Genomic DNA, 19410 nt, shown 5'->3' on the forward strand with positions numbered 1-19410 from the left:
CTAGTCAAGCAAGTAACTCCTTCAAAAGTTTAAAAATTTGGTTTCACATTGGCCGGGTGCGGTGGCTCACGCCTGTAATCCCAGTGCTTTGGGAGGCCGAGGCGGGCAAATCAGGAGACCAGCCTGACCAAACATGGTGAAACCCCGTCTCTACTAAAAATACAAAAATTAGCTGGGCATGGTGGCTCGCGCGTGTAATCCCAGCTACTCAGGAGACTGAGGCAGGAGAATCGCTTGAACCCGGGAGTTGGAGGTTGCAGTGAGCCGAGATCGTGCTACTGCACTCCATCCTGGGTGATAGAGCGAGACTTGAGTCTCAAAAAAAAAAAAAAAAGAAAAAAAAATTGGTTTCACATGAAGTGGTGGTGGCGGGGGAGGGAGGTGTTTGAAAGGATGGAGACAGGCCATGATTATTTGAATTTCACTTTTCATTTCCTCCTCAGCAGCCCATTCTGTAGTTCATTTACTGTGAAATGGCCAAAAGCAGGCAGCATGTGGGAAATGAATTGAAAAAGAGACACTTACTGAATAGCTAGTCCTTTAGTGATTTTAGTAAAGAGTTAAGATTACTTAAATAATAACAGGTGTCTCAGGCAATTAAATTGGAGTAGCCGTGAATCTATATTAGAGAGCCTCGTGAATTTATGTATAATTCATGTTTGAAATATTAAAGACATTTACAAGTGTTTGGAATATTTATTTACGAGTATCCCTCTTGGCTATTCTGTTTTTACATGAAAGCGTAAAGATTATTTTTTGAAAGTTACTGTTACTTTGCTTCATAAAGAGTATAAGACCAATGGTGTAATTTCATGGTACTGCTTTCTCCCATTGTTTTTCCTGTACTCATCTTCCCCTAAAATGCATAACCATAGTCTCATCCCCGTCAATTGCAGCTATATGGCTGTTTGGAATTATTTCTCTTATAACTAGTCCCACCTTCTCTTAATTTTTTAATCGACTTGGTTGAGAAGGACCAACTTTACAATATGAGCTTCATATTCTCCTTTATCTTTCAAACTTTATTGCTCTTGCTACTTAAATTACAGTTAACCTATGGATATCTACTTTTGCAAAGAACTAAAACCTTGCTTCATCACAGAACCAAATAAACAGATTGTATTTCTCTGTTCTCTTTCTCTTCCTGCTTCTGTAAAAGGTATGATACCTTTTGTTCCACATTCTTTTCTTTTTCTTTTGAGTATGCTAGTTGCAGTGCTTTCAGGTTTTCTTATTCTTTTTCTTTTTTAGCCTTTCTTTTAGAAACCATCTCAATAATGCATAATTTACAGTTTACATTTTTGGGTTTTTGAAAGTGGAGTAAGAACTTAGATTGTTTGGCAAGTGTCTTATAAAGAATTCTTAATTTAATATTTCCCGTAAGTCATAGTTATCTCCAATTGTAATATCTAGTCCAAAAGCAGATTTTTTTTTTTTTTTTTGAGACAGAGTCTCACTGTGTCACCCAGGTTGGAGTGCAATGGAGCAATCTCGGCTCACTGCAGCCTTCGCCTCCCAGATTCTCCTGCCTCAGCCTCCCAAGTAGCTGGGATTACAGGTGCCTGCCACCGTGCCTGGCTAATTTCTGTATTTTTTGCAGAGATAGGGTTTTACCATGTTGGCCAGGCTGGTCTCGAACTCCTGACCTCATGTAATCCACTCAACTTGGCCTCCGAAAATGCTGGGATTACAGGCGTGAGCCATGGCGCCTGTCCAAAAGCAGTTTGTTTTAAAGCAGAAAAAGCAAAACTGTGTTTATTGTCTTTCCAAAGCATTCAACTTAGTCTTCAGAGAAACAGTTCTCTTTTTGAATCATTTAATCTACTTAGTCATTTCATCTAATGTACAGTTTAACAAAATTACAAAATTGCAACAAGTGTGGCTGGCACAATCAGGTTTGGTGACAAACACAACTAACTCTTGGTAAGCACCCCTCCCTGTTGGAGTGAACATAAGTGCCTGGGCACACTAGAGAACTGTGGTGGGCATTAGCTATACTGTAGGCTTCACAGGAGTGGAGAACACTGTTAATATGGAGAGCTGGAAATTGGTTAAGTAAACTTTGGTATTCTAGTAAACTTGCCCAAGAAGTTTAATTCTTATATATACCTAGTTTTTCCAGAAAAGTTACATTAAGGTATTAATTTAACCACAGCAGGTAAAAGTTTTTTGTTTTTTTTTTTTTTTCAAGACAGCTCTGTTGCCCTGGCTGGAGTGCAATGGTGCTATCTCGGCTCACTGCAATTTCCGCCTCCTGAGTTCAAGTGATTCTCTTGCCTCAGCCTCCAGAGTAGCTGGGATTATAGGTGCACATCACCATGCTGGCTCATTTTTGTAATTTTTTCTTTTTTAAATGAGAGTCTCGCTCTGTTGCCCAGGCTGGAGTGCAGGGGCGCGATCTTGGCTCACTGCAACCTCTGCCTCTTGGGTTCAAGCAGTTCTCCTGCCTCACCCTCCCAAGGAGCTGGGATTACAGGCGCATGCCACCACGCCTGGCTACTTTTTGTATTTTTAGTAGAGACAGGGTTTCGCCATGTTGGCCAGACTGGTCTTGAACTCTTGACCTCAGGCGATCTGCCCGCCTCAGCCTTCCAGAGTGCTGGGATTACAGGGGTGAGCCACAGCGCCTGGCCTCAACATTTTTAAGTGTTAATTTAATACTATCTTTTCTCTATCAGCATATTGTATTTGTTTGCTTATATTATATGAGCATTTTCCAACATTTGCTTTATTACCCTCTCTGTAATATATAATCCCATATTCAGATTTCACCATTTGTTCCCAAAATGTCCTTTATAGCATAATCAACATATTTTAAATATCATTTGTATAGAAAGCTATATATTGAAGGATACCGACAGCAGTGAAATTGAGCCTGGCATGATGGCTCAAGCCTGTAATCCCAGCACTTTGGGAGGCCGAGGCAGGCGGATCACTTGAAGTCAGGGGTTCGAGACCAGCCTGGCCAAAATGGTGAAACACCATCTCTACTAAAAATACAAAAATTAGCCGAGCATGGTGGCATGCGCCTGTAATCCCAGCTACTCAGGAGGCTGAGGCATGAGAACTGCTTGAACCTGGGACGTGGATTTTGCAGTGAGCTGAGATGGTGCCACTGCACTCCAGCCTGGGCGACAGAGCAAGACTCAGTCTCAAAAAAAAAAAAAAGGAAAGAAAAATTAATTGAAGCTGTTGCACCACAGGGTGAATGGAGCAACATACTGGTGAAAGTAAGGTGAATGCCAACTGTTGTTTTTGTAATCATACCTAATAAAGTTTTTATCAGTGTGTTAGATGGCCTTCAAAATATGGCAGAGAAATCCATAACCAGGCAAAATAATTTTGGGTCTCATTTCTTCTTATAAGTTATTACTTGCCTATAACAAACTAATCTAAAATATGCCTTTCTGCTCTAAAAGCTAAAGCTTAAGAGTCCCTTGGCAGATGGGACTTTTAAATTATTCCTGTAGAAAATTGGTAGTATATAAGTGTTTTAATTTATTATGTGTTTTAATTTATTCCTGTAGAAAATTATTCCTGTAGAAAATCGGTAGTATATAAGTGTTACAGCTCTTAGAATTTGTCTAGCAGGCTCTCCGGTTTTTGCCAGAATGCCCACCACCCCCCGAAAAAAGAAAGTTGGTAGATTGGTAGTATACAGGATATATCAGTATCCTTTGGGTGTTTAGGTATAAGGAGATCTGCTTAGAAATTATAACTGGAGAGCTGAGTACAGTGGCTCATGCCTGTAATCCCAACACTTTGGGAGGCTATGGTGGGAGGATTGCTTGAAGCTAGGAATTTGAGACCTGGGCAACATAGTGATACCTATTTCTGGAAAAAAAAAAAAAAAAAAAAAAGAGAGACATTAAAAAAAAATGAGACAAAGAAGATAGAACAAAAGGCTAGATAATTTGGAAGAAAAGCATGAAAGTAATGTCATAAAGAATTCAAAGAGGACAAAGTTTCAAATAGAGGGGGAAATGCTGTAGGGGTATTGAGGAAGATGGGGACTAGAAAGCATCCTTTTAGATTTGGCAAGCAGGCAAGCGTTCATTGGTGACCTTGTGGAGAATAGTTGGAATGAAGTAAGTCTCTGATCATCCTGAGTCAGGGTCAAGTTTATCTTGTCATTATTCGGGTATGAGGCTAGTTTTTCTCTTTGGTATCTTGTGGCTCCCATGGCCGGAAGTTGGTGCTTTCTTCAGTGCTAGTTACCTCTAGGAAGAGGAAGCGGGCGGCTGTTCCTGGACTTCTCTGAATACCTTTTTCTAGTTTTAAAGTTTTGAACCACAAGAATGTATTACTTATTCAGCAAATAAAACATTTCCAAGTGAAATACAGAAATTGGCCTTTTTTCTATGATATAGTGCTGTGATTATCATTATTGTTCAAGTGCTATTATTATTTTGTTGACATATCTGCCCCCGCCTTTAGATTGCAGGCTCCTGGAGAGCTGTCTCCTGCAGTGCCCCAGTGTCTAGTATGAGGGGGTGGCATCTAATGGGTTATACAGTTGTTAAGGAGCATAAGATGTCCCTACGTAAAATGCTAGTGTAGCATACAATGAGGTTTGATGTCAGAATGGCATCAGTTCTGCTTTTTGTTCCTCTTGTGAGGAGCCTGTTCAAATGCCCTACTGTCTCTTGTCCCTATGCTGGGGGCACATGGTAGCAGTAGTAACCATCGCCTTAGTGCCCTTAGTGAGGTTTGATAAACCTGCCTGCTGCCTACAGTTCCAAATTTGACCAGGATTATATGACATCATTTAGAAGAACCCTTAGGAGGGAACTCTGAAAGCAATGTGTCTGTCTAAGCACTGCTGTTGCTGGCAGAGGTATCTAGAGGTTACTTAGGGATGAGCACGATTGTTTTCTCCAGCTCTAAAAGAAATTAAGGACTCTCAGTTTTTTTTTTTTTTTTTTTTGGGACTCTGTCTCAAAAGAGTTTAGGTCTGTGAATGGTCTTGCTCTGTCACCTAGGCTGGAGTACAGAGGTGCAAACATGGCCCATTGCAGCCTCAACTTTCCGCGCTCAAGTGATTCTCCCACCTCAGCCTCCTGAGTAGCTGGGAGTCCAGGCCTGTGCCACCATACCTGGTCAGTTTTCTTGTAGAGACAAGGTCTCACTGTGTTGCCAAGGCTTGTCTCAAACTCCTGGATTCAAGCAAACCTGCTACCTCAGCCTCCCGCAGTGCTGGGATTACAGGTGTGAGCCACCATGTCTGGCTCAAATGTTCTTTTGTCTTTTTCTTTGCCAGTTTTACTTCTTTCCACATGTCAAATATATATTTTTAAAGATATTAGTAAAAAATAAAGAGAGTTTAATTGCTACAGTGTCTAAACTAGGTTTTTTAATGGATTGAAGGCTATCAGAAGGACGTTTTGAATAAACTTATTTTGTTTGGAGTTTAATTTTTTAACAAAAACCCAAGTTGGAATTTAAGGTAAATGAAAACTTTTTTGCATTGGAGTGAAATATAAGGAAATAATAAATTCATTAATTTTATTAAGTGATCATTAACTTCTTAAAAATAGAGCTGATACCTATGAGCTATACTTAGTATTAGATGATTTAGATAGCACTGCTTTCTCTTCAGTAGAAAATAATCAGAAAAATAGTTTATCATTTAAGTTTTGTCAATTTTTTTCCCTAGGAAGATAAGAAAAATACAGTAGAAGTAAGATTGACAAAAAACCGTACAGGGCTGTTTTTAGCTTTCTAGTCTTTTGGTTTTTTTTGGTGGGGGGGAGTTATTTTTTATTTTTAGTTTTATAGAAATTAGAATATTCTTCCTGGCCTTGTTTTGAGAGGTTTTAATTTAAATAAAATTTAATTTGAGAGTTTTTGAAGTGAAATGTTACGATCTCCCAATTCAACATTATAATTTTACTGCAGGATAAATAAAGAAAACAGGAAAGGAGGAAAGCATTGATTACAAATATCTTAACAATGAGCAAATGTGCAAGGAAAAAATATATTAAGACAAATCCAAGGTAGGTAGATGTACGTTTTTCTGTTCTTTTGAAAATTCTACTTAGCTTAAAGTTCATGATGAATAAATTGATATATAGATGTACACATACATGTATGTATGTATATATATTCTATTATAATATATACTCAAATTATTCAGCCATTCACTTAAGGCACCATCTACTGTGTACCATGCTGGGCACTGTAGGAGATGTGTCGGTATGTCAGTTGACTTATGCTAAGTACTAGTCTTTTCGTTTAGAAAGTAGACCAATATGAGGATGTCGATAGTTAAGTGGAATTGTAGAATTCGAAGAATCCCCAGGGTTTTATTCTTCCTCCCGGCCTTTCGGCCATACTTGTACTTAACCTTATAAAACAGAAGAAAGTCTCTACCAACGTTTTAAAAATATCCAAATAGAATTTTTCAAGTTTTCTTTTGATTACTTTCAGAGACATTCTGTTTCGTTAGTTGGATGTAGTCCTAAAGAGAAAATTGATTTTCCACTTTTTGTAAAGTTATTTAAAATAATAGAAACAACTTTAATAACTTCCTTTTCCAATTGGATTCTATTTTTAGAAGAGATGAAAAATTTTTTCAAGGGTAGTGCACTTCCTCTGCAATGTAATTTGTCTTTGAAAATTGGATACAACTAAAATTTTAGAATTTTTTTTTTTTTTTTTTTGGAGACAGAGTCTCACTGTTACCCAGGCTGGTGTGCAATGGCACAATCTTGGCTCAGTGCAACCTCTGCCTCCCAGGTTCAAGGGATTCTCCTGCCTCAGCCACCTGAGTAGCTGGGATTACAGGGTGCCACCATACCCGGCTAATTTTTTTAATTTTATATTAAAACAATTTATTACTAAAAAAAATTTTTTTTAGGCCGGGTGCAGTGGCTTAATCTGTAATCCCAGCACTTTGAGAGGCCAAGGTAGGAGAATTGCTTGAGGCCAGGTGTTAAAGACCAGCCTGGGGAAAAAAAAAGAGAAAAGGGAAGAAGACCAGCCTGGGTAACATAGCAAGATCCTGTCTCTTAGAAAAAAAATTGTTTTAATGGAGGGTCCTATTTTTTAAAAAAACAATAGATATATTAATATTTTATTAATTTGGATCCCAGTATATTCAAAACAGGTTGGGATAATATTTGCTTTTCTATCAAAGTTTGCTAAATAATATAAAGGAGATTTCAGAGAAATATTTAACTTCAAAAGAAAATAATCCTGCTATTATTAGTTGTTTGTAAATTTAAATATCTCCATTTTAGCAATTTTTTTTTTTTTTGAGACACAGTGTCACTGTGTCCAGGCTGGATTGTAGTGGCACAATCTTGGCTCACTGCAACCTCTGTCTCCAAGGTTCAAGTGATTCTTGTGCCTCAGCCTCCGAGTAGCTGGGATTATAGGTGCGTGCCGCCACACCCAGCTAATTTTTGTATTATTAGTAGAGATGGAGTTTCACCATATTGACCAAGCTGGCCTCAAACTCCTGACCTCAGGTGATCCACCTGCCTAGCCCTCCCAAAGTGCTGGGATTACAGGCATGAGCCACCATGCCCAGCCACCATTTTAGCAAATTTTTACCTGTTTTTTAGAATTGTGGAACCAAATATTTGCCAGTATTTTGCTTGTTGTTAATTTATAGTGCTTAGTGGACTTGTTTGTTTTCGTTTTTATTGTTTTATCCTTACATGTTTTTATTTTTAATTATTTTGTAATTCATAATTGCCCATTGGTTCTTTTCTCTCTAAAAAGGATTATTGTTTAAGATTAAAATACTACATAGTTAATTAAAGACTATTAGTTTTAGTACAACTATGTTTATTTAATATTATCACAACTATGTTTAATACAGAAGGTGAGATTTGGGAAAATATGTTCTATGAGACATCTCTTCAATTTTAATGTATTTAGCTATAAATTATATAGTGAATAATGTAAGATTATAATGGACTCTATAAATTCTATCTGGAGCAGCTGTGGCTGATTTATAGATGTTAATGTTGTATGTACATCATTTACAGCTGAGTTTGGGGTCCTGCATTTCTGCTGAGATAGTGCCTGAAAAATGCCTGGTACAGTGCTTGACCCATGTTGAGCACTGAAATGTTAGTTGAATCTTCTGCACTGAGTCCTGTATAGGAGTTGGGTTTTAGTGGGTTTAGGAGGTTGTACTGGAGGGCATAAATCTGCAGATTTGGATATAAATCTGCAGAATAAACTGGCTTGAAATAGCATATCTATTTTAAATTGCTAGTGTTGACCTTTTTTGTAGATGATTTTTACCTTCAAAAAAATAATTTTAGTATCAAACTTGTACTAAACGGCATGAACTGAACACCGTGCTAGGTACTCTGGCAGAATACAAATGGAATAAAATTACAGTCCATACATTTGGTATGAAAGAGAAAGCATATCTGAGTGAGATTGCGACAACAATTGCAGCATACTCCAAAACACATCATCATCGTAAAATGTTGTCCAAACTGTAATTCGCAGGGCACTGGCTGTGGAAGGAACCCTGGAGTCACAGTCACAACACCTCTTTTTCATCCCTCATCATGCTACCTATTATGTTCCCTGTAAAAGTCCCTTAATCTCTCTGAACGTTATTTTTATTATTATAATAACACCTGACAGTTGCACAGTCTTCCAGGATAATTGATTAATTGGTTTATTTAGCATATACTGTACTAGGCACTGGGAATGCATGGAAATCTATAAGATGGGATCCCTGTCCCTGAGTTGCTCACGCTGGTGTGTGAATACATGTATTATATGCTACACAAGTGTTATAACAGACTTGTAAATGCTTTGGGAACTCAAAAGAGAATAACTAATTCTGCCCATGGCTATTAGAATAGGCCTTTGAAAGTTGGTGTCCTCGAACCAGGCCTTGACAGACTAGTGAGAATTTGCCAGTTGGACAAAGAAGGGTAAAGGGCATTTCAGGAAGAGGGGAGATTAGATGTAAAAGATTAAAACTGGGAGAGTAAGATATGTACTTGAAAAAATGTCTGATTAGGAGGCTGGCATGCAGCGTGTTGGAAAGAGTAGAGGGACTGGAGATAAGGCTGTAGGACTAAAATGGGTCACATTGTGAAAGAGATTGAATGGCAGTGTGGTTTAGTAATGGAGTGTATGGACTTTGGAAAAAGACCTTGGTTGAAAACCTGGCTATGCCACTTAATACGTTCATGGTAAGATCAAATTCTTAACCTCCCTGAGTCTCCTTTTCCTTATTTCTAAAAGAAGAACTAATTATTTTTTATTTTTTGAGACAGTCTCACTCTGTTGCCCAGGCTGGAAGAACTGATGATAGTGATCTTATAGAGTTGTTAATCAAAACTACCAGGCACTTACCACATGGTAAACTCTCAATAAATGATGGTTATAGTTATGAGAATTAGAAGTTTGGATTTTATCCTGTAGTCAATAGGAAGCTACTGAAGAGTTTTAAGCAAAGAAGTATTTTAAGCAGAAATACATGTTTTAGAAACATAACTATTGGCATGGATTGGAGCCAGGAGTTAGAGTGGTGGCTGTGGAAAGGTAGAGAAGGAGACTTAATTGTTCTTTAGAAGGTAGAATCATCATACCTGGTGATGATGCTGTGTGGAATGACAGAGAGGGAGTTTCAGGGGTTTCTGGCTTGAACAACTCGTTGGATGATGGGGTCCCATTTCCTGAGATAGGGAACTCGGGTAGAAAGTTTGTGGAGGAAGAAGAGGAGTTTAGTTCTGGACCCACTGATTTTGAGGTTCCTGCAGGACATGTGTTTGGAGATGTTAAACAGGGATTTGCATATTGGATTTTGGAATTGAGAAGAGACGTCTGGCCTAGAGTCATGGGTTTAAATCTGGCACTTGAATCCAGAGAAACAGACCATATGAAGTAGGGAGAGATTTGAGAGTGAGGCAAGAAAGCTAAGCAGAGTCCCGAAGACATGCCATGTTGAAGATTAACATTGAGGAAGAGAAGGAATTGTCAGGGGAGCTTGTGGAGGAATTGTCAGCGAATCAGATGAGAAGAGGAAAATGTAGTATCAGAACGCTGAGACAGTGTTCAAGAAGGAAGATGTTGTCAACGGTTTGAATGCTGCTGAGGGATCAAACAAAAGGTAGGACTTAAAATGTACGTTGGATTTAGTGACAGAGATTAGTTACCATTTCTAGAGACGTTTTAGAGGTAGAAACCTCTCTAAACTTGGGGGTATCTAGGAGTATGTGGGATGTGAAGTAACGGAGATAGTAGTGTTGGCAATTCTTTCAAATATTTCAGCAGTGAGAAGGGGAAGAGAGGTTCAAGGGAATAGCTCGAGAGATTTCTGATCCAGTGGATTTGTGGCTATGTGTATAAGTTGTGAGATGGGAGAGACGTGAATGTGTTTAAGTCTTTACAGGAAAAAACTGTTAGAGGGGGAGAGAATAATTGATAGTATAATCCCCTGGGGCATGGGCTCCAAACAACAGATACAGGTATTTTAAGAGTAGGGAGGAGGCAGGAGGCAAGGGAACATGGTGAGTGTAGATGTCAATAGCTTTGTTGATTTGGTTGTGGGAAGTTGATGGAGTTCTCATTAGAGACAGGAGGCAAGGGCTTTCATTGAATGCAGTCAGTATAGAAACGCAGGGATTGAGAAGAGGGAGAACATTTGAAACAGTTGTTGAGAATGGGAGAGTAGTAAGCCAAGGAGGCAAACTCCATCAGTTTGCCGCCCATTTGAGGTTGAAAACCAAGAATTTAATAGCTATATTTATATTTTTAGAGATGGGGTCTTGCTCTGTCACCCAGGCTGGAGTGCAGTGGCACGATTATGGCGCACTGCAGTCTTGACCTCCTGAGCTCAAGTGATCCTTCCATCTCACCCTCCTGAGTAGCTGGGACTACAGGTGCCCATCACTACGCCCAGCTAACTTTTTTGTTTTCTATGTGGAGACGGGGTCTCACTATGTTGCCCAGTCTGGTCTCAAACTCCTAGGCTCATGTGATCCTTCTGCCTTGGCCCCCCAGAGTGTTGGGATTACAGGCGTGAGCCCCTGTGCTTGGCCTCAATAGCTTATTCTGTCTTATAATTTCATTCAGTATTGTTCATCTGCCTTGGTGCAGGCATAGAGGAGATGAAGAGTTGGTTTTATCCAAGATTGGTACTTACTAAGAATATACAGCAATGGCACAATCTTGGCTTACTGCAACCTCCAACTCCCAGGTTCAAGCAATTCTCCTGCCTCCACCTCCCAAGTAGCTGGGATTACAGGCGCCTGCCACCACACCTGGCTAATTTTTGTATTTTTAGTAGAGACGGGGTTTCACCATGTTGGCCAGGCTGGTCTTTAACTCTTGACCTCGTGATCTGCCTGCCTTGGCCTCCCAAAGTGCTGGGATTACAGACGTGAGCCACCGTGCCGGGCTGGGAAACAGTAATTAAAATGAGAAGCCATGTTAGCTGAATAGGGTGGGAAGTGAAGAAAGGGGGAGGCAGATGGGCAGAGAGAAAGTGGTGTGGAGATCTCAGTGTGTTGGAATAACAAGTGTGATGGGAGTGGTCAAGGGAGAGGGTAAGATGGGAGGATAGGATGTTGTAGGCAGAGTGGAATGTTGGAATTAATTTTTTCAGAGCTGGACCAATTTGCACATTGGCAATGTCCAGGGTGTGGCCAGACACTCCAGTAGATAGCTGAAGTGGCATAAAGTAAGTCATTGATCTGAGGCATCTGGGTAAGGGATAGGTCTTCTTTTGAGTGTTGAACATAGACAGAATGGTGAAGAGGAAAGCTTTTACATCAGGGGCCAGAGTCTTCAGTTTACATCCTGGAGGTGAGTAGATGATTATCTTATGGATGGGTTCAGGATGGTACACCTGATGACCTTGAGCCTCAGTTGAACAAGGGTTTTTACGAGGGAGTAAAGGAGGTACAGGTGGGAAGCAACAGTGGGGAACAAAGCAGATGGCCAGTCAACATGCTGACCTTGATTGGGTGTGGGAAGATGAGCAGTACTCTCTTGAGAGGACAGCAGAGAGGCTTTGGGAGTTCCAGATAGCATATTGCTGGAATTTGGAAGGAGAACAGGAGTGAGGGATTGTATTATGGAGGGAAAGGAAGCACTAGTTATGAGAGTGAAGATGAAATATGGAAGGAGCTTATATCTTAGTGATTTGAGTGTGATTCTGGCATGGGTGCAGGGGCATTGAAGTTTAGTTGTGGCTTAGGAAAAGGCCCATTGTCTGTGATTTATTGTCTTCAGAGTGGATAGCAGCAACTGTGTGGAACAGCAGCTCAACTGCTTTGTCCAGTGTGGTGATGGGAGGTTACAGTGGACAGTGCCCAGTGCTAAATTATGGTAAGGAGGAGGAGTTGGGATGGCTGCTGACCTTCCATCTCTGCCTTTCTCCCTAAGGCTCAACGCCTCATGGTATCCTGACTGATGTTTAGCTTTGTGGGGTTGCTTTTTGTGGTTGATCTCATTCTGACTGATTATATATAGACACACGATTCTAGCTTTGGAGCCTGAATGGATGATGATACTCTTGACTAAAAGAAGAAATAAAAGAGAGGGGTCAGGTGTCCATGAAAACCCCAGGTTGAGATGCTCAGTAGGAGGGAGGTGTGTGTAAATACAGATTTGGGAGCCATCTGCATATAGGATTGAAGAAACCATAGTATTCATAGTATTGGAAAATTCTGTAGTATTGACAAAGGGAAAAGGGCAAAGGACTGAACTCTCTGGGAAATGCCCCCAGAGAAAAATGGACCAGTTAAGATGATTGCATGAGATGGTACGTTATCAAGACATTTTCATGTATAAAACATTTTGAAATCTGTCTTTTATCATATCTCAAAAATTGAGGCCTGAATAGTTTATCTTTTTAATCATTAAAACTTTTTTTTTTTTTGATGGGAGACTTCTTGGATTCTACAGTGTGTACCCCTCTGTCCTTAAAGTATACTGAACATAATTAGCCTTTTTTTCATGACTCAGGATAGTTATTATAAATATCAGTTATTGAGTTGTAACTTCCAGGCTGGGCATGGTGGCCATGCCTGTAATCCTAGCACTTTGGGAGACTGAAGCGGGCTGATCACTTGAGGCCAGGAGTTGGAGACCAGCCTGGCCAACATGGTTAAACCCCGTGTCTACTAAAAATAAAAAAAATTAGCCGGGTGTGGTGGCGCGTGCCTGTAATCCCAGATACTTGAGAGGCTGAGGCGGGAGAATCGCTTGAACCCAGGAGGCGGAGGTTGCAGTGAGTCCAGATCGCGCCACTGCACTCCAGCCTGGGTGACAGAGCAAGACACTGTCTCAAAAAAAAAAAAAAAAAAAAGGTATTATTCCTAATTTAATTCCATGCAGCCTTTCCAGCCCTATTTGTACCAGTCCTACTCTGTCTCTTCCCCACTAAATCTAATTATCCCCCTTTCCCTCACCCAGATTTTCTACTCCAATCACCTATTCTGTTTCCCAGATATCCTCTGTACTTTCCTCCCTCTCATAGTCGACCTGTCCTTTCTACCTGGTGAAATCCTACTCACCCTTCAATATACGACTCATATGACCACATTCTCTGGCAGACTTGGTCATTCTCTTATGTTTTCCAGAGCATTTCATGGATCACATATATCACATGATTCAAGAAATTACGGCCAGTTGCAATGGCTCACGCCTAGTAATCCCAGCACTTTGGGAGGCCAAGGCAGGCAGATCACCTGAGGTCAGGAGTTGAAGACCAGCGTGGCCAACATGGCGAAACCCCGTCTCTTCTAAAAATACAAAATAGCTGGGCATGGGGGCATGCGTCAGTAATCCCAGCTACGTGGGAGGCTAAGGCCAGAGAACTGCTGGAACCTGGGAGGCAGAGGTTGCAGTGAGCCGAGATGCCTCTGCACTCCAGCCTGGGTTGACAGAGTGAGACTCTGCCTCAAAAAAAAAAAAAAAAAAAAAAAGAAATTACTTTACTTGTGATTTACTTTAATTACTGACCTGCCAATAAACTGTGTTTCTCAAATTTTAGTACATATTGGAATTGTTTGCATATAAGAAGTTAAATTCTCAAGAAAGTTTGATTCACTAGGTTTGGGGTTGAGCCTAAGCTTCTGCATTTTTTACAACAAATACTTCTCGTTAATTCTGATGCGAGTTGTCCAAGGACCATAATTTGAGAAACCAACAACCATGTAGTTAATGGATTCCATCAGGGCAAGGGCCATGACTTATCTGCTTTTGTATTTTCAGGGCCTGCCATGTAGACTATGCTAAATGAATGTTTCTAGAATGAAATATAGTTTACTGGGGAAGGCCTTTCGGCATATAATTTTTGAGTTGAGACCCAAGTTGTTGCAGAATCTTAAGAAAGGTTTTGCCTTTCAAAGGTGTAAAAAATAGCACAAGACAACATTTCCCAGGTGGTTTCCAAAATACTCCTGCTAGGGCATGCTTTGTGGGAAAAGGGTTTGTTTGGTAGTCAGATACTTTTAGAAAATGCTGTCTGTTGGACCTGTGCCCTTCACCCTTCTCAAGACACACTAGCAGATTGAAGCTTTTGAGATGTTCTGTGGGAAAGAAACCCTTTTAATCTTTAAAACGTTTTGACAAAGCATTTTCCCTACCCTTTTTCCCCAGATAATGCCTTTTTAGAACCTGCAGAACTAATGTCCTGAGGTATTTTCTTTGGAAACTGCTCACATAACCAAAAGTATAACAGTAGGAATTAACACTTCATGTGTGATGATGACCTATAATTACCTAGAATTGGAGAGGCCACTCTGGGAAGTTATAAGAAAAGAGATAAAGGATTAGGCAATATTAAGGGAAAGACATTTTTCTATGGTAGGCTCGACGTTTGTATTTTGGTATAATTGCTCTAAATTGTCCTGGTCAGTTATAAGTATTAAAATAACTGTAGTATAGATGATAGCAGACAGGTTTGAGCATGGAAGGATTGGATTTGGGTAACGGCTACTGGAATGCAAAAGGCAGTAGGAAGTCAAAGACAGTAGATGAAGGATCTGTAGAATCTGGTAACTAATTAAATCTGGAAAAACAACTTGGATGTTTTAATTCAAAGATCTAAGTGGTCTATATACTTTTTGGATGTATAGTTAGACTAAGGTGAAAAAGAAACATTGTATTATTGACAGCTGAAAAGATGTGTAACAGCAGGGAGTAGTTTCTATAAGTTTTTTGGGTTTTTTTTTTTTTTTTTTTTTTTTTTTAAGACGGAGTCTCGCTCTGTCGCCCAGGCTGGAGTCCACTGGCGCAATCTCGGCTCACTGCAAGCTCTGCCTCCTGGGTTCACGCCATTCTCCTGCCTCAGCCTCCCGAGTAGCTGGGACTACAGGCGCCTACCACGGTGGCGCCCGGCTAATTTTTCGTATTTTTAGTAGAGACGGGGTTTCACCGTGTTAGCCAGGATGGTCTCGATCTCCTGACCTGGTGATCCGCCCGCCTCAGCCTCCCAAAGTGCTGGGATTACAGACGTGAGCCACCGTGCCCGGCCTCTATAGGTTTTTAAATTTTAGTTTTGTTTATTTTGTTTATATTTTAACAGGATAAAATTTATTATAATATAGTTTGCCTTCTAAAAAGAGTCCATATAGAAATCACTAACTTAAACTGAATTCATACACAAACTTCAAATCACATCAGAAGTTTTTCCTGGAAAAATTAGGTCCTCTTTTTTCAATAATTGGGGCTTGTTTATCAGAAACGACTTAGTGATAACAAAGCAAGACACATTTTTGTATTATTATACATTTAATTTAGACGATGGGGAAATTCCTTCACACTACCTCATAACATAAAGCAGGTTTATTAGGCCTTAAGAATCATAGAATATTTATACTTTTCATGTAAAATAGAAAACCTAATTTTCCAGCCATTCATGCTAAACAGCAGGGTTAAAGTAATGATCAGGAAGACTTTATACGTTTTAAAATAAGGTAGTTTTCATGAGACATTTTGCAGTGCTCCCTTGGTAATGTTCATATTCAGTGAGCAGAAAAGAAAAGATGAGAGAGTTAGGACTCTACTATTGAACCTGTTTCTTGAAGAAAACAAAAACCAGATAGTACAATTGGATGTCAGAAATGATTATTAGAAAGCTAGGTAAAAACAGTACAGGTTGAGTATCCCTTATCTGAAATGCTTGGGACCAGAATTGTTTCAGAATTTGGAATTTTTTGGATTTTAGAATATTCGCATATACATATGAGTTACCTTGGGGATGAGAGCCAGGTCTAGACACGAGATTCATTTATGTTTCATATACACCTTATAGTCTAAAGGTAATTTTATACAATATTTTTAATGATTTTGTACAGGATACAAAGTTTTGAGCCATAGCATGAGGTCACATGTGGAATTTTCCTTTTGTGGCATCATGTAAATGCTCAGAAAGTTTCAGATTTTGGAGCATTTCAGATTTTGGATTTTTGGATTAGGGATGTTCAACCTGTATTTCCAAATACTTAAGATAGGGCCTTAATTTGTCTTCCTTTTTATTGTCTTTTCAGACAAATGACCATGGAAACAGTTGAATCCCAGCATGATGGAAGTATAACAGCTTCTTTGACAGAGAGCAAGTCTGCTCATGTGCAGACTCAGACTGGCCAAAATTCAATCCCTGCTTTAGCTCAGGTAGGCAATAGGCAGGCACCGTTGAAAGTCAAAATATATGGAAATGAGAATTAGGTGCAGATTCTGTTTTCTTGCCATTGATCTTAAATTTTCCATGTTCCCTGGTTATCAGCCATTCTTGCTTATTTGATTGTGAAGAAAAGATACGTGTTGTAATTAGCCTTGCATTTTAACAGACATTCAGCAGTGCCCCATCTCCATTGCCACCACCACTATGGAAGGAAAAACAAAAACCCTTCCTGAATATGTAATCCTCAAAGTATGATTTGAGAGGGTTGCTAATTCGAAATTGATACAGTTCTGATGTCCTTAGCTGTTAAGATGACAGAAATCTTACCATTTTCCCCGTATATATTTGTCTTAATCATTACTTTCTTTTCAGTTAGGTCTCGAACTTTGAATTGGTTTCATTCAGAGGTCACCAGTATCAGTTAGTACCTGTTTCTAGATCCTAAAATTTATTTCTGAGATATCTATTAAAAATATAGTAAAAATAAACACATTTGTTAGTTCATCAAATATTTATTGAATGTCTGCTGTGTCTAATTATTCCGGATGCATGTGGATATGTAGTTTCAGGACTTAAATATCCCATGGTTTGGTAGGGTAGACAGATATTTTAGCAATAATTCCAGTAGGGTAAGAAGTGCTGTAAGATACTATGTAGAAAATGAATAAGGCCTACAGAAGAGGGAGCAGCCAGCTGACTAGGAGTGCTTTATATATCTCCTTTGAGCTAGGCACAAAGGATGAGTAGGAGTCTGCCAGGTTGATAAGGTGAGGAAGCATATTCTAGGCAGAGCGAAGAGTGTGCACAGAGGCACAGAGCCAGAGCATGGGATGTTCAGGGAACTATGGGTATTGAGTTTAACTGGAGCCAGGTGTCTGGGCTGGGCAGTCCAGCTGGTAAAGGTAAGTAGAGGATCGTATACATTTCAGGGTTTAGAGTACACTGTACTCTAAATAGTATTGAAATATTTTCAGGTGCCCACCGTATTTTCAGTTTTGACACTAGTAGCCATGTGGAGGTGGAATTGAAAGTCAGTGAGTCGGAACTGAAGACACCATCAGGGTGCCTGGTGGAGTCAAAGTAGCGTGAGATACAGAGCAGTGGTGAGACCTTTGTGGTACATTAAAGGGAGAATAAAAAGGACCTGGTGGTTGACTGGAAGGCCCAGGGGAAACACCAGGCACTTCTTGGGTTATATTAGGCCAGACTGGTGTGAGAGCTCTCCTTTCCTGTGCACCCAGCCTGCTTTTCTTTCCTCTTTAAAGCTGCCAACACCCACTCGTTCCCTGCAGGTTTTCTGCGGTATTCTGTAGAGCTGTATCTCCCTAGCAACACCTTTTGTTACACTGAGAGACAGGCATTTAGGTTAGGCCAGGCCTTTTGCTTAAACACACACACACACACACACACACACACACACACACACACACACACACACCCTTGTTAAAAAAAATGCATGTTCATTGTAGAAAATAAATATTAAAATGAAGAATATAAAAACTATCCATAATCTTAACATCCAGAGATTTAATCATTGTTAACATTTTGGTGTAGCTCCTTTAGTCTTTTTGTCTGTGTGAATAGAATAGAAAGCATATACTTTTTCTCATGATTTTGGGATTTTCCAGAATCTTTAGAGCTATGGTTTCTGGTCAGTAATTCTGCCCTTTGCTGAAGTTGTAGTTGAAAGCACTTTCTTTTTTTTTTGGTAGAGACAAGTTCTCACTATATTGCCCAGGCTGGTCTCAAACTCCTGTGCTGAAGCAGTCCTTGCACCTCAGCTTCCCAAAGTGCTGGAATTACAGGTGTGAGCTTCTTGTACCCAGCCTGAAAGTACATTTTCTTCCTTCTGACTCTACTTCCTTCTAGGTGGGTCCCGGCTCACTAAGTTCTACAGATGCCTTTTGCCCCAGAATTCTGGGGCTGAAGTCCCAGCAATAGATTTCCATTATCTAAATATGGTAATTTGCAATTCTGAGGACCTTCAGGCTGGGCGACAGCCACCTCTGTGAGCCTCACTCAGAAATTGCCAACAGGTGGCCAGGTGCAGTGGCTCATATCTGTAATCCCAGTACTTTGGGAGGCCAAAGCAGGTGGATCGCTTGAGGCCAGGAGTCCGAGACCAGCCTGGCCAACATGAAGAAACCCTGTCTCTACTAAAAATACAAAACTAGGTGGTTATGGTGGCACACGCCTGTAGTCGCAGCTGCTCGGGAGGCTGAGGCACGAGAATCACTTGAACCCAGGAGGCTGAGGTTGCAGTGAGCCAAGTTGGAGCCACTTCACTCCGGCCTGGGTGACAGAGTGAGACCCTGTCTCAAAAAAAAAAAGTGTTGCCAACAGGTTAAGTAATGTGGAGTCTGAAAAGTAGTCTTAGGTTTCTGAGGGCTTGAAAGTGTTGCCAACAGGTTAAGTAATGTGGAGTCTGAAAAGTAGTCTTAGGTTTCTGAGGGCTTGGAATTGAATAGGAGACCAGTGGACAGAAACTAGGTTTTAGTAGGTTATAGAATAAGTAAGAGGAGGGGAAGTGGAAGTTGGAAGTATAGACTCTTTTAAGAAATTTGTCTTGAACTAATAGAGAAAGATGGGTTTGTGAAACAAAGGGGTGAGAACTGGGATGTGAGAAATTTGGGAATGTTTTGAATAAAATGGAACATTATAGAGACTTGTGAGAAGGCAGAATCAAGGAACTAGAAAAAGCCTGTGTTTACGTTTGTAATGCTTCTTTAAAAATCTCAAATAATGTTGTATGCTAATAAATATTGATAGTTATTAAATCTGGATAGTAAATT

At 40.0% G+C, this 19410-nt stretch overlaps 1 protein-coding gene and 1 pseudogene across 52 annotated transcripts in view, besides 5 other annotated features; both read left to right on the forward strand.

The window, feature by feature from the left end:
* CREM (cAMP responsive element modulator) overlaps positions 1–19410 on the forward strand; it is an 86113-nt gene that overhangs the window by 5038 nt on the left and 61665 nt on the right. For 20 of the 52 annotated variants that reach the window (NR_172138.1, NM_001394618.1, NM_001394627.1 and 17 more), the window contains exon 2: positions 16485–16608. The exons of 12 other annotated variants lie outside the window; for them this stretch is intronic. Coding sequence is in view for 29 of the 40 variants with exons in the window: in NM_001394598.1 (NP_001381527.1) it covers positions 16489–16608 (120 nt within the window). In the remaining 11 variants the exon portion in view is untranslated. Of the gene's footprint in view, positions 1–5898; positions 5997–16484; positions 16609–19410 lie in introns of those variants that run through there. 20 more of the 52 variants (NR_172139.1, XM_024447824.2, XM_047424625.1 and 17 more) reach the window with 3 other exon arrangements.
* Positions 1923–1992: a silencer, noted in NCBI's record as "silent region_2301". NCBI's record gives its function as "represses an Ori minimal core promoter by ATAC-STARR-seq in GM12878 lymphoblastoid cells {active_cell/tissue: GM12878}" and the evidence as "EXISTENCE:reporter gene assay evidence [ECO:0000049][PMID:35858748]".
* On the forward strand, positions 3561–3617 carry RNU7-77P (RNA, U7 small nuclear 77 pseudogene; annotated as a pseudogene).
* Positions 4665–4714: an enhancer, noted in NCBI's record as "active region_3260". NCBI's record gives its function as "activates an Ori minimal core promoter by ATAC-STARR-seq in GM12878 lymphoblastoid cells {active_cell/tissue: GM12878}" and the evidence as "EXISTENCE:reporter gene assay evidence [ECO:0000049][PMID:35858748]".
* Positions 17233–17352: an enhancer, noted in NCBI's record as "active region_3261". NCBI's record gives its function as "activates an Ori minimal core promoter by ATAC-STARR-seq in GM12878 lymphoblastoid cells {active_cell/tissue: GM12878}" and the evidence as "EXISTENCE:reporter gene assay evidence [ECO:0000049][PMID:35858748]".
* Positions 17513–17572: an enhancer, noted in NCBI's record as "active region_3262". NCBI's record gives its function as "activates an Ori minimal core promoter by ATAC-STARR-seq in GM12878 lymphoblastoid cells {active_cell/tissue: GM12878}" and the evidence as "EXISTENCE:reporter gene assay evidence [ECO:0000049][PMID:35858748]".
* Positions 17993–18042: an enhancer, noted in NCBI's record as "active region_3263". NCBI's record gives its function as "activates an Ori minimal core promoter by ATAC-STARR-seq in GM12878 lymphoblastoid cells {active_cell/tissue: GM12878}" and the evidence as "EXISTENCE:reporter gene assay evidence [ECO:0000049][PMID:35858748]".

Source organism: Homo sapiens, chromosome 10 (assembly GCF_000001405.40).
Source record: "Homo sapiens chromosome 10, GRCh38.p14 Primary Assembly".
Lineage (NCBI taxonomy): Eukaryota > Metazoa > Chordata > Mammalia > Primates > Hominidae > Homo > Homo sapiens.